The sequence below is a fragment of the Homo sapiens genome, chromosome 1 (assembly GCF_000001405.40).
Source record: "Homo sapiens chromosome 1, GRCh38.p14 Primary Assembly".
In the NCBI taxonomy this organism is placed as follows: Eukaryota; Metazoa; Chordata; class Mammalia; order Primates; family Hominidae; genus Homo; species Homo sapiens.
Genome location: NC_000001.11, coordinates 44,939,354 through 44,954,588, shown reverse-complemented (window position 1 = coordinate 44,954,588; position 15,235 = coordinate 44,939,354). Strand labels below are relative to the sequence as shown.

General features: G+C 40.2%; 1 protein-coding gene across 6 annotated transcripts in view; it reads left to right on the top strand.

Moving 5' to 3' along the window:
- EIF2B3 (eukaryotic translation initiation factor 2B subunit gamma) overlaps positions 1–15,235 on the top strand; it is a 136,074-nt gene that overhangs the window by 32,007 nt on the left and 88,832 nt on the right. For all 6 annotated transcript variants that reach the window (XM_047433500.1, XM_047433499.1, NM_001261418.2 and 3 more), the window contains one exon: positions 12,924–13,083. In XM_047433500.1, coding sequence (XP_047289456.1) covers positions 12,924–13,083 — 160 coding nt within the window. The remainder of the gene's footprint in view (positions 1–12,923; positions 13,084–15,235) is intronic.

The window sequence follows — 15,235 nt, the reverse complement described above, 5'->3', positions numbered from 1 at the left end:
AAGTCTCAGGATACAAAATCAATGTGCAAAAATCACAAGCATTCCTATACACCAATAATAAACAGCCAAATCATGAGTTAACGCCCATTCACAATTGCTAAAAAGGGAATAAAATACCTAGGAATCCAACTCACAAGGGATGTGAAGGACCTCTTCAAGGAGAACTACAAACTACTGCTGAAGGAAATAAGAGCGGACACAAACAAATGGAAAAACATTCCATGCTCATGGATAGGAAGAATCAATATTGTGAAAATGCCCATACTGCCCAAAGTAATTTATAGATTCAAATCAAGCTACCATTAACTTTCTTCACAAAATTAGGAAAAACTACTTTAAATTTCATATGGAACCAAAAAGAGCCCATATAGCCAAGACAATTCTATTGATTTCGTAATTCATCTCCTGATGTTTTTGCTTTATATGAGTTGTTTTGTCTTTTTTGCTGCATAGATATGAAGAACTATTGTATTTTCACTTTTAATTTTGGCTTCTAGCATTATAAAATAACCTTTGTTTTATTTAATGATTTTGGCGTAATTCTACTTTGTCTGATAGCAGGATCACTTTCTTATTGTTTCCATTTGCCTGGTATATCTTTGCTTTTTAAAAATTTTTTAGCGTTTCTAAATCTCTGATTTAGGTCTGTCTCTTGCATACAGCATAGAATTAGATTTTACTTTCAAGCAAATTGAAAACCTTTTGCTTTCAATGAGTGAATTATGCTCATTTCCATTTATTGATGTGACTGACATGCCTGTTGTAAATGCTGTTGTTATTTTAATAATTTATTTTTGAGACAGAATGTCACTCCAGTGCCCAAGCTGAAGTGCAGTGATGTGATCATGGCTCACTGTAGCCTCGACCTCCTGGGCTCAAGCAGTCTTCCCACCTCAGCCTCCTTGGTAGCTGGGACTACAGGCACACACCACCACACCTGGCTAAATTTTTGTATTTTTTGTAGAGATGGCTAAGTCTTTGTGTTTTTTTCGCCATGTTGCCCAGGCTGATCTCGAACTCCTGGGCTCAAGTGATATGCACACCTTAGCTTCCCAAAGTGCTGGGATTACAGGCGTGAGCCACTGCACCCGGCAAGAACTGATATTAATAAAGAGAATTGGCAAGTTAGGTTCAGTGATGACTTAAACCCTTGCTGGAGTGGTAGGGACAAAAGCCTGATTAGAGAGAATGGGAGAGGAATGAGAAAATGAAGACAGTGAGACAGCTAACTTTTTTTGAGAAATTATGATATGAAGGAAGAAGAAAAACAGGGCAGAAATTGGACCAGAAATTGGACCAGAGTGAGGCTGGTTCTTTTTTTTTTCTTTTTTTTCAATGAAAAATTTCATACCTATAAAAGAATGTGATATAAATAAGTGCTTCCTTGCCCAGCTTATAAAAATAAATTGTGTGTTTTCTGGTTTTTTTTTTTTTTTTACACTTATGGAGGCAAGTTGGGTTTTTTTTAAGGTAGGTATTTTTGTATGTTCTATACTGACGGGAGTGATCCCAAAGAGGAGAGGAATAAATTGATGATAGAGAAAATAAAGCATTCAATTATTCGATTCAACAACTATATTTTTGCTACCTACAAGGAACTAATCACTGTATGATGTATGCTTAGGATGAACAGTGAGTAAAACAAAGTTCCTGCCCTTGTGGCATTTTTAGAGTAGATGAGAGGGACTGTGATCTGGTGCACGAGTGGATGGGTTTCCCTTAAATTGGAGAAAGGACGGCCAGGCGTGGTGGCTCATGCCTGTAATCCCAGCACTTTGGGAGGCCGAGGCGGGCGGATCACGAGGTAAGGAGATCGAGACCATCCTGGCTAACACAGTGAAACCCCGTCTCTACTAAAAATACAAAAAATTAGCCGGGCGTGGTGGCGGGCGCCTGTAGTCCCAGCTACTCGGGAGGCTGAGGCAGGAGAATGGCGTGAACCCGGGAGGCGGAGCTTGCAGTGAGCCGACATCACGCCACTGCACTCTAGCCTGGGTGACAGTGAGGCTCTGTCTCAAAAAAAAAAAAAAAATTGGAGAAAAGACATTTAATTTATTGTACAGGCAGAATGTATAATATGTAATGCATATAGATTAATTAATTTTGTGTCAGAAAGATGTTTGCTGCTTCTAATTGCTTGTATTTTCTTATTGAAATAAGATGTAAAGCCACCAGTTAAGAGTCAGTAGGGCCAGGCTCAGTGGCTTACGCTGGTAATCCCAGCACTTTGGGAGGCCGAGGCAGGTGGATCACCTGAGATCAGGAGTTCAAGACCAGCCTGGCCAAAATGGCGAAACCCCATCTCTACTAAAAATGCAAAAATTAGGGCCGGGCGCGGTGGCTCACGCCTGTAATCCCAGCACTTTGGGAGGCCGAGGCGGGCGGATCACGAGGTCAGGAGATCGAGACCATCCTGGCTAAAACGGTGAAACCCCGTCTCTACTAAAAATACAAAAAAATTAGCCGGGCGTAGTGGCGGGCGCCTGTAGTCCCAGCTACTTGGGAGGCTGAGGCAGGAGAATGGCGTGAACCCAGGAGGCGGAGCTTGCAGTGAGCCGAGTTCCCGCCACTGCACTCCAGCCTGGGCAACAGAGCGAGACTCCGTCTCAAAAAAAAAAAAAAAAAAAAAAAAAATTAGCCAGGCATGGTGGTGCGCCCCTGTAATCCCAGCTACTCGGGAGGCTGAGGTGGGAGAATTGCTTGAACCTGTGAAGCGGAGGCTGCAGTGAGCTGAGATTGAGCCACTGCACTCCAGCCTGGGTGACAGAGCGAGACCCCGTCTCAAAAAAAAAAAAAAGAGGAAGGGAGAAGCTGCTGAAGTTTTAAGGAAGGATGAGAATATATGAAATTATCTCTGAGAATGTAAAAGTTAATTGGCTAGGAAATGTATTGCTGGACAGTGTGAAGGATCCCCTTGAGATTTGGGTTATCAGTTTAAAAGGAGACTAGCCAATGCTGTTACCAGTTTTCTATCCATGTTTAGCTTCTTGGGTTCATATGCAAAGTAGGCAGAGAGTTAGGATATAACTAGCATCTTTACCTGGTGAGTACAAGGGATGAGAGTAGTAAGGAAGACAGTGATGTATATTAAGGAGTATTTATAGTGATGGACCACATAAGCTGTGTAAACGAGACCACCAAAGGAATTAGGGTGCTATAAATCAGTGTAACAAATGGATTGAGGATCCTGTTAGAATCAGAATTGCTGGAGCCAGAGTAAAAAGTCAGTGAGTTGGAAAAATAGAAGGTGGTGATCAGACAATAGGATGTAAGCTTTTTGAGGTCAGGGATTTTTGTTTGTTTGTTCATTGCTGTATCTCTATAATGCCTGGCCATATTCAGGGTTCAATATATGTGTGTCACATGAATTAATATGATATTTTAAAGTGAGATTTTGGAGTTGGTGCAATTTTTGGTAATGCCAAGGAGTAGAGTATAACAAAGTGGTTGAGTGACTAAGGCGAGAAGGAGAAAAAAAATAATTGAACGTGATGAGGTCATGGAGTCTCAGCCATAAGGATGTTAAAGTCACTGAAGTAATTTTTTTAAAAAACAGAGATAAGAAAATAGTCCTAATGTCTTTTTTAAAAAACTCATACTGGTCAGGTGCAGTGGCTTACGCCTGTAATCCCAACACTTCGGGAGGCCAAGGTGGGTGGATCACTTGAGGCTAGGAGTTTGAAACCAGCCTGGCCAACATGGCATAATCCTGTCTCTACTGAAAATACAAAAATCAGCCAGGTGTGGTGACACATGCCTGTAATCCTAGCTACTCTGGAAGCTGAGGCACAAGAATCGCTTGAACCCCAGAGGTGGAGGTTGCAGTGAGCCAAGATCGCACCATTGCACTCCAGTCTGGGCGATAGAGCAAGACTCTTGTCTCAAAAAATAAATAAATAAATAAACACCTTATACTTATTGAAGTTATATGTATATATCATTTAAATAATTCAATATCATTTAATAAATTAATAATTTAATAATTTAAATAATTCAATAGTTCAAGCTTTGTTCCTAAAAATATTAGTCCCCTGACCACCCCCACCCCATATCCCTAACCCGAAAGGTTCTCTTCTTTTAGCTACTTTGTTTTTTATCTGTATGTCTCTAAATAACATGCTAAAATTGTTACTTCTTGAATTTTCTGTTTTGTTTGTTTGTTTTTTAGAAACACGATCTCACTCTGTCACGGGTGCTGGAGTGCAATGGCACAATCATAGCTTACTGCAGCCTGAAACCTGGGCTCAAATGATCCTCCTGCCTCAACCTCTCAAGTAGCTGGGACTACAGGCATGCACCACCATGCCTGGCTAATTTTTAAAATTTTTTGTAGAGATAAGGTCTCGCTATGTTGCCCAGGCTGGTTTCAAACTCCTGGCCTCAAACAGTTCTCCCACCTTGGCCTCCCAAAATGCTGGGGTTACAGGCATGAGCCATTGTGCTCAGCCAACCCTAAGTTTTAAAAAGATTTATTAGTTGTATTTTTTCTCATTGTTATGAACTTCCCTTTAGAGTGAAAGTTTGATTTGGGAGAACAAAAAAAATCTCTTGTTTTTTTCTATTCCAAGTCAGTGCATTTAGAGATGAAAATTAAATTGCATATATCTAAATCCTAGAAGAGACGTGACAGGCATTTTTATAGGGAACTCATTTGAACATAATTAAAAATTAATATAGGTGCTTCTTTCCTAGCTTCACACAGTAAGGAAGAATATAATTCCTCTATTTGTTCTTAATCTGAAGAGGAAAATTTCCTTGGAGGACGTGAATGAATTATGAATATTAGAACCATAAATGTTGAGCCTTCATTTTAAGTTGTAAATCTAGCAAGCATATCATCATTCTTCAGCCGTGCCCTCCAGGACAGCTGCTTTTGACTTCTTTCCTTTCAGACATCTCTGCCTTTTGCTTCTTTGGTAGTAGCAGGTTCATTTCCTACCTTCTTGCATTAGGGAACTGCAAAGTTGTCTCTGTGGCCCCTGTCCTAACTCTGAACAGTCAGTCTCTACAAAGGGAGCATTCACCTCTGTCAGAATGTATACTGTTTCTAAACATTTAAAATCAGATGTTTTAATATTTGAGTCAAATTAAACAAAGAGAAGGAGATAACAGGAAAAGTACTAACATTTACTCATGCGTGTTTGCCAGCACTAGGTTGAACTCTGAATATACAAAGATAAAAGGGCTCCTTATGGAGCTCAAAGTCTAGATGGAAAAAATATATATGTAATCCAATTAGTGATTTAAGGTCTGTAATGGATCAGAAAATGCATCATCTCTAGGGGAGATAATATATCGGCTCTGCCCTTTCTAGTAACTGTGACAAGACCTGAATTTTGATGGATAAATATATAATAGAGTAGGAAGACAGACTAGGGTATACATTCTTGGCAGTCGACTCTATCAAATTAACACTGGCGGCCAGGTGCAGTGGCTCATGCCTGTAATCCCAGCACCTGAGGAAGCCAAGGCAGGAGGATCACTTGAGGTCAGGAGTTTGAGAACTAGCCTGGCCAACATGGCGAAACACTGTCTGTACTAAAAATGTAAAAATTAGCTGGGCATGGTGGCATGTACCTGTAATCCCAGCTACTTGGGAGGCTGAGGCACAAGAATTGCTTGAACCTCGGGGGGCGGAGGTTGCAGTGAGCCGTGATCGTGCCATTTTACTCCAGCCTGGGCAATAGCCTGGGCAATAGAGCGAGACTCTTTCTCAAAAAAAAAGAAAAGAAAAGAAAAGAAAAAGTTAACATTGGCTATGTGGAGGGGAGTTGGGGGAGAGAAGACTGAATTAGGTAGGTGGAGTCATATTTTGAAGACCCTTAAAATCATGCTAAGGAATTCCAACTTAATCTTGTTGAGCAGCAATCTCCAAAATAGGCTGTACTCAAAGCCAGGTGGTGTACAGAATTAAGTACCAGAGGAAAATGTTAGAATTTCTTGTTTTTAAATGTTTTATTTATTCCTTTTTAAATGTCTATCTTTATATATATTATATAAAGAGCATATCATATTATAGTGATCTATATATTTTTTTAAAAATTTTAAGGTAAGTGGCAATAAGTTCAACTTTTTTGATGTTTGGAAAACACTGTTTTAGGGTGTCTTTGAGCAGGGAAAAGACATATGCAGTAGAAATTAGAGTATGGATTAGAATAAGGGAAAACTGGAGCAAGAGAGACACCAGCCAAGAGACTGGAAGAAGATTTTGAGACCTGAACTAAGGCAGTGCAATAGGGGAAGAGTAGGGGACAGGGCAGGAGAGGAAGGACTTCCATCCTGGACTATGGGCGGATTTCTGGCATCAGATTCTGGATGGTAGCAACAGCATGATTAAACTAAGGAATATAGTAAGGATATTTAGCTGTGAGCCCAAGGATTATCACATTTCTTACTTACTGACTGAGTTGGTCATTTCCCTTCCTAGAGCTACTGCCCCAACCTCAGTGAAAACAATGTGGCAGTTGGCCCTTGGCCTTGCACTTTGAGGACTATAGACTGGAATCTTTTCCAAGCATTTTAAACCAAAACTGAGGTCTCCATTGCAGTTAGCCTTTGGTGTTTATTCAAGCACACAAACTATGCCAGGTGCAGTGGCTCATGCATGTAATCCCAGCATTTTGGGAGGCTGAGGCAGGAGGATTGCTTGAGTCCAGGAGTTTGAGACCAGCCTGGGCAATATAGGGAGACCCCTTGTCTAAAAAAAAAGAAAAGAAAAGAAAAAGCACACAAACTACTCTTGGGGATTTGACTGGGATTGGACCACATAGGAAAATGTAAAATGTGACCTTCATAGTCACACCAAGTAGCTGAATTCATGAGTTCCATATGGGCAGGGGTGGCATGCAGGCTGGTGATTTGGATCATAGCCATTATTTGTGGAAGCACTGGGTGAGTAGAGAAGCATGGTAGTTACCTTGCCCTGACAGTTTTTTTCCAAGGGAGTAAATGTGTTTTTCTTTCTCCTTGTCATAAGAAATCGGTTGCCAGATTGTGTTATTTATAACAATCTGTCATGGAACAGCTGCCAGGAAAAGAAAAGAGGCTATTCCCAGTAGCTCTCCTCACCTCCCGCCCCACCACTACAGCCACACACACACACATCCGGTTTTCTGATTTAACCTTTTTTCCCCTCTAATTTTACTCAGTGGTTTTGGCTTGATCGAAAATGTTCTTGTAATGAGAGATTTCTGGGCTTTGCCATGGCTTGGTAATTGGGTTTTCTGAGCTTAATTTGTTTACTTTAGTCAAGACTAACTGGCAGCAGTTTGGATTTTGAATTCCTGGGTGTTTTGGACACTTTAAACACTAAAGTGCTGCCTTCCCTTGAAACCTTGCATGTTTCTATATTGTCAAGAGTGCACACATCTGCTTTCCTTCTGAGTTGTGCTTTCTGCCCTTGACATTGCCCTGGCTTCTCTAGAGGAGCAGGCTTGGGATGAGGCATACCAATGACTGTTGGAATAGTGAGTAGGGAGATCTTTGGAGAGGCCAGTTGGTCTCTGCAGAAGAGGCATACTGTTGGCATTAGAAAAGAAGTGGGTCCATGAAACAAAGGCAGCTGAGTGTTGGCATGTTCAGGGAACTTTAAAATTAACTGCATTTCTGACACACAGTTGCTTCACAGTCCAAACAGTCCATGTTTATTCATGGCTTGTGGTCACACATGATCAAAAATACTTCTCTGGGTCTTATCAGTTTTTCTACTTTCTCTCTCTGGGCTCCAGTTACTAGAAAGCCATTTGCATTCCTAGAATGGGCTTTACATTTTAGAATAAAAATAAAAACAATGATCATTTCTTTCTGTTACAGCGTTTATAAAATCAGGCCAGGCTCAGTGGCTTATGCCTGTAATTCCAGCACTTTGGGAGGCTGAGACAGGAAGATCACTTGAGCCTAAGAGTTTGAGACCAGCCCTGGCAACATAGTGAGATCCCGTCTCTACAAAAAAAAAAAAAAAAGAAGAAGAAGAAGAAATTAAAATTAGTGGACATAGTGGCATGTGGTGCCTGTAGTCCCAGCTACTTAGGAAGCCGAGGTGGTAGGATGCTTGAGTCCAAGAATTTGAGGTTACAGTGAGCTATGATCACACCTCTGCACTCCAGCCTGGGCAACAGACTGAGACCCTGTCTCAAAAAAAAAAAGGTATTATGAAGGTATAAGTGTGATTTAGCTTTCCTTTCTTTCTTCTTCTGAGATTTCCAGCTTTGGAAATTGATCAGACAACAAACACTTTCCTTTGGAAGTGATGGAGTTGCACAGAGGATGAGATGTGTTTGGTCTCAGTGACTCTTACATGGTGCATTCTCTGGGAACAGAGGCAGGAGAGGGGCTGATGGAACAGCACCTCCGTCTGTATGCTAGGCCCTGTTCTTTCAGACCCACGCCTTTCTTTTCACACTAAGAACAGATGGCAACCAGACATTGAGTGGAGGGGTCTGTTCCTTGTGATCCTTGGGGATTTTGCATTCAGTTTAGCAAAAAGTCATCAAAACGCAAAGAGAGAAATGAGCCTACAGCCTGTTCACAATTATGCAGGACTTGTTTGGCATTCACTGTACTGACAGATTTAAACACTTTTGCAGATATCGAATGATAACAGCATTTATTTGCCAAGACAACATTGTTACCACTTCTGAGGCATCTGCATTGGAGTCATTTTCTTGATTTTGGAGTATACTTAATAGTTCAATTTATTGTAGATCAGTAAACTTGCAAAAAAACAGCCATCTTATTAGAGAAACTTAGAAAAATAGAAAGGGGATTTTTTTCCTCAGCAAATTGTCATTTTCATTCTGATGAAATGGGGCAACTTCTGTACTGTTGTAATGACAACTCTGTGAATGTCTTTAGTAATGATTTGTCTCCTTGTCTTTCTAAGCATTGTTCTAAGTAGGATTCTGCAGGCTGTTTCTTTAGTTTGTATGTATGTGGTCTGATTTGTTCACGTTTGCTGCTTCCTGCATGGTGAGTTGCAGGTGTAGGGTTTTTTTTTTTCCTAAAGAGATGTTTATGGGAACTTTTTTTTTTTTTTTGAGACGGAGTCTTGCGCTGTTACCCAGGCTGGAGTGCAGTGGCGCGATCTCGGCTCACGGCAAGCTCCGCCCCCTGGGTTCATGCCATTCTCCTGCCTCAGCCTCCCGAGTAGCTGGGACTACAGGCGCCTGCCACCACGCCCTGCTGATTTTTTGTACTTTTAGTAGAGACGAGGTTTCACCATGGTAGCCAGGATGGTCTCGATCTCCTGACGTTGTGATCCACCCGCCTCGGCCTCCCAAAGTGCTGGGATTACAGGTGTGAGCCACCGCGCCCAGTGGGAACTTTTTTTTTTTTTAGTCTCAGAGTTAAAATCTAAAAAGAATTTAGAGAGCCTTAAGCAGAAGAGTAGGAAACAATCCGAATTTGAGCTTAACTTTAAAAGGCCTTCAAAAGAAATTGTTCAGGCTATAAATAACAAGTTACATGTGGAAAAAGAAATGGTGATTCTGTTGCAGATTCTATATTCAGAATAAGAAATTTCAGGCAGTAACATAAGGCATTCTGATGGTTGAGTCTCACTTTCTGAGCAAACAAGACTCTTTGATTTGGTAGACTATGAGTTGAAATCATCCATTTTCCCACCCAAACCAGGAATCATGATTTTAAATTAAAATATTAGGAAAGTTTGGAGTACTTACAAAAAAAAAAATACATGTAGACTCACTTCATTCTTGAACCCAAAATAATTTGGTCCAATGTTTTCCAGACTATTTATTTATTTGAGACAAGGCCTCACTCTGTCACCCAGGCTGGAATCCAGTGGAGTAATTGTAGCTCACTAGAGTCTTGAACTCCTCTGAGGTTTAAGCAATCCTCTTGCCTCAGCCTCCCAAGTAGCTGGGACTATAAGTGCATGCCACCACACCTGGCTAACTTTTAAAAAATTTTATTTGCTAATTTAAAAAATGTTTTATGTATTTTTAGAGATGGGGTCTTACTGTGTTGTTCAGGCTGGCCTCAAACTCCTGGCCTCAAGTGATGCTCCTGCCTCAGCCTCCAGAGTAGCTTGGCTTACAGGTGCAAGACACTGTGCCAGGCCTTTTTTTTTTTTTTTTGAGACAGCATCTTGCACTGTCACCCAGGCAGAAGTGCAGTGATGTGATCATAGCTCACTCTAACCTTGAACTCCTGGGCTCATGCAGTCCTCCTGCCTTGGCATCCCAAAGCACTGGGATTACAGGTGTGAGCCACTCTGCCCAGCCTAGACTTTTTTAAAGTAGCATAATTGGTTTTCCAAGACAAAGCTTATCCAGAAGCCTGGAAAATAAAATTAATAAAAGAGGAGCTGCCTTGGTTGATTCACGAAGGGCAAATCAGAACCTGCCTTTCCCTGAGGCACCTCTGGGATTACAGGCATGTGCTACTGTGCCTGGCCCTAAACTATGTTTCTTTTTTTTCTTTCTTTGGAGATAGAGTCTTGCTCTGTCACCCAAGCTGGAGTGCAGTGGTGCTATCTCGGCCCACTGCAATTTCCACCTCCTGGGTTCAAGCAATTCTCCTGCCTCAGCCTCCCGAGTAGCTGGGACTATAGGCATGTGCCACCATGCCCGGCTAATTTTTGTATTTTAGTAGAGATAGGGTTTCACTGTGTTGCTCAGGCTGGTCTCAAACTCCTGAACTCAGGCACTCCGCCCACCTTGGCGTCCCAAAATGCTGGGATACAGGCATGAGCCACTGCGCCCAGCCTAAACTATATTTCTTTAACACTATTCAGTAATACAGATTCTTTAGTTATACAAATAGCCATTACTAATTGTTAAATCTTAGTTACATAACTACTATAAATCTGTTTCTTCGTTGGTAAAGTGCTAATAATAACAGCTCTGGGCTAGGCGCGGTGGCTCACGCCTGTACTCCTAGCACTTTGGGAGGCCAAAGTGGGCAAATTGCTTGAGTCCAGGAGTTCGAGTCCAGCCTGGGAAACATAGGAAGACCCTGTCTCTACTAAAAATAAAAATAAAAATTAGCCAGGTGTGGTGGGGCACGCCTGTAGTCCCAGCTACTAGGGAGGCTGAGGTGGGAGGATCACTTGAGCCCAGGAAGTCGAGGCTGCAGTAAGCCATGATCATGCCACTGCACTCCAGCCTGGGTAACAGAACAAGACCCTGTCTCAAAAAAACAAAAATTTAGATATAGATATAGATATAGATATAGATATAGATATAGATATAGATATAGATAGTTCTTCCTGCATATGGTTGTTGTGAAGATTGAAATATGTTTTTGGCCAGGCGTGGTGGCTCACACCTGTAATCTCAGCACTTTGGGAGGCTGAGACAGGATTGTTTGAGCCCACCAGTTCAAGACCAACCTGGACTACATAGTGAGAAACATAGTGAGACCCTGTCTCTATTTTTTTTTTAATTTAAAAATAAAATTAAAATAAAAAATAAGGCCGGGCGTGGTGGCTCACACCTGTAATCCCAGCACTTTGGGAGGCCAAGGCAGGTGGATCACGAGGTCAGGAAATCAAGACCATCCTGGCTAACACGGTGAAACACCGTCTCTACTAAAAACACAAAAAAAATTAGCCGGGCGTGGTGGCGGGCGCCTGTAGTCCCAGCTACTCAGGAGGCTGAGGCAGGAGAATGGCATGAACCCGGGAGGCGGAGCTTGCCGTGAGCCGAGATCTTGCCAGTGCACTCCAGCTTGGGCAACAGAGGGAGACTCTGTCTCAAAAAATAAATAAATAAAATAAAATAAAATAAAATAAATAATGTTTGCAAAGTGTTATCACAATTCCTGGCCAATAGTAAGCATTCAGTAAACATTAGTTATCATTGTTAGTTTTTATTATAATTAATCTGAGATATTAGAATTATAATCAGGCATGGTAGCTCATGCCTATAATCCCAACACTTTGGGAGGCCGAGGTGAGTGGATCATTTGAACCCAGGAGTTTGAGACTAGCCTAGGCAACATAGGGAGACACCATCTCTACAAAAAATGTAAAAATTAGCCAAGTGTGGTGGTACATACCTGTAGTCCCAGCTACTTGGGAGGCTGAGGCAGGAGGATGACTTGAGCCTGGCAGGTCGAGGCTGCAGTGAGCTGTGACCGCACCGCTGCATTCCAGTCTAGGTGACAGAGTAAGACCCTGTCTGGAAAAAAAAAAAAAAAAAAAAAAAAAAATATATATATATATATATATATATATATATATATATATATAAAATCAGAAAGCCCACCAATAAGAGAAAACCTTTTCTTCGTTGATTTATTCATTCATTTGTTAAACAATTATTAAATACCAACTGTGTGTCAGACACTGGTAACAGGCCTTATTTTTCTCAGCTATAAAAATAGAGGCCAGTAATATTAATAATAACAATGCCTTTCTGTCATTCTTATGCTATTTTTATAAGATTGAATGGGTGCCTTGTACATACCTGAGGTTACATTGTAATTATTTACTATAGAATGTTAAGTTCCTAAGAATGAAGCATTGTATTCTGTTCATCCTGTTATTTCCTAGTACTGTAGTAAAGTGATTGTTCTTTGCCATATTAAGTCATCAAACTATGTGAAAATGCTCTTTTAAACTATAAAGAGATGTATAAATATAAGATCATATATTCCATAGTCATAGAAATAGACAATGTGGTGGTTTTCAGACTGTTTCTTAGAACCTAGGGTTCCAGAGATGTCTCAGGGACTGCCCACACAGTTCCTGAGGTACACAAGGGAGAGGTAGAGTTTCCAGACCCTATACCAGCACAATTCAATGAGAACAACCCCATTTATTTTACTTGTTTGGCTATGAAAAATGCTTGAAGAGTATTGTCTGATTTGTGTGGTTTTAAGCCATCCTAATTTTGTCTTGTGATGATTTGTGTAATCCATTGTCCTTTATGATATTGACTTTTCCCATCTCCATTTAACAGACAGATGTGCTGGTGCTGAGCTGTGATCTGATAACAGACGTTGCCTTACATGAGGTTGTGGACCTGTTTAGAGCTTATGATGCATCACTTGCTATGTTGATGAGAAAAGGCCAAGATAGCATAGAACCTGTTCCCGGTCAAAAGGGGAAAAAAAAAGCAGGTAAGGAAGATTGGAGTTTGTTTTGTTTGTTGAGTTTTCGTAATTATTATTCTCACTCATGCTTTCCCTGAAAAAACATTTATTAAGAATCTACTATACATCACAGATTCTGTGCTAGGAGTTGATGACATAAAGTCAAATAAGACACAGTCCCTGAATGGAAAATGCTTAGAACTATTGATTAGATTCTTTAATGTCCTTTTGTATGCAGAGAGGAACATTCAGAACTATTTGCATTGTATTTAAGGCTCAAATAATTGAATACGTATATCTAAGAAACAAACAAACAAAAATCCAATTTAAAATTAACTTTTAAAAATAGGCCAGGTGCGGTGGCTCACACCTGTGATCCCAGCACTTTGGGAGACCGAGGCAGGGGGATCACAAGGTCAGGAGTTTGAGACCAGCCTGGCCAACATGGTGAAACCCCATCTCTACTAAAAATACAAAAATTAGCTGGGCGTGGTGGCGTGTGCCTGTAATCCCAGCTACTCAGGAGGCTGAGGGAGGAGAATTGCTTGAACCCAGGAAGGGGAGGTTGCAGTGAGCCGAGATCACGCCACTGCACTCCAGCCTAGGCAACAGAGCAAGACTCCATCTCGGTGGGGGGAGAAAAGGAATTAAAGTTACTATCACAAATTTAGTATGGCTGGTTCTTTCAATGCTTCAGTCACCCTAAATGACCAATAAATGTGATAGTTGTTTCTTTTTCTTTTTCTTTTTCTTTCTTTTTTTTGAGATGGAGACTCGCTCTGTTGCCAGGCTGGAGTGCAGTGGCACCATCTCGGTTCACTCCAATCTCCACCTCCCGGGTTCAAGCACTTCACCTGCCTCAGCCTCCCGAGTAGCTGGGACTACATGCACATGCCACCACACCCAGCTAATTTTTGTATTTTTAGTAGAGACGGGGTTTCACCATGTTGGCCAGGATGGTCTCTTACTTATCTCTTGACCCCGTGATCCACCTGCCTCTGTCTCCCAAAGTGCTAGGATTACAGGCATGAGCCACTGTGCCCAGCTGATAGTTGTTAATCATGCTTATCTTCCTAGGATTATAACATACTTATTTTGATTGTAACATACTTATTTTGATACTTATTTTCCTAGGATTCTAGTAGTCCTTTTATGGGTTTAAATTTTCCTGAATGATGTGTTTTTTTCCTTGAAGTTTTCCTCTGGAATGATGTATTCTTTAGGTTTTGCTTTGCCAGCATTATGTAACCCACTATTTTGTCATTATTATATGTTGGCATATTTTGTTACAATTATTAGACTATGTATAGCTTATTAATTTCTTACTATTATTAATAGAGCCACTGAGAGCCTTCATACTTAGGATTTGAATAATCTAGTTAATATTTTAGGACGTTTGGTTAAATTATAATTTTCCAGTATAACATTGAAACTTGTTTCTAGTTGCTTTTTGTGTTCAGATGATCACTGGTGCAGATTAATTGTTGGATACTTTTTCTACATTATTGTTATGTGATGATACTCATGCTGATCAGTCTTTTTGTTCTTCATATAGTTTCTGCTTTTGCAAGGTCTGGTTTACTTACAATTCCCTGTATTCATTCTTTTCTGCCTACACAGATAGAAATAAATATATAACCAGATTTTATAAACAGATATATGTTTCATAATTAATTTTTTTGTTTCCTTTGTACTCTATTTATAAAAATCAATTAAAAAATCAACTTATTCTTCTTGTCATTAGAACTTTTCTTTAAATTTTCTCCCTTTTCATAGGCATTGATAAAACTTTTTAATACACTTTATATATAGTTTTTATGTCTTAAGTATCATTATAAATGCACAGATTTTCACAATTCCTTTTCTTTTATTGTAAATTTAACAATTTATAATTGTATAAATTTATGGGATACAAAGCGATGTTATAATTTATGTATACAATGTGGAATAATTAAATTAAACAGGTTAACATATCCATCCCTCAAATACTTAACATTTTTCATGGTGAGAACATTTGAAATTTACTCTCTTAGCAATTTTGAAATGTACAATACTCTTGTTAACTATATTTACAACATAATTCTATTTTAAATTAACTGTAACTATTAGCTACCTACCATCCATTTTTAAATGTTTTCATGCTTAAATTGTCAGTTTGGCCAATGGAAGTCCTTTAAGC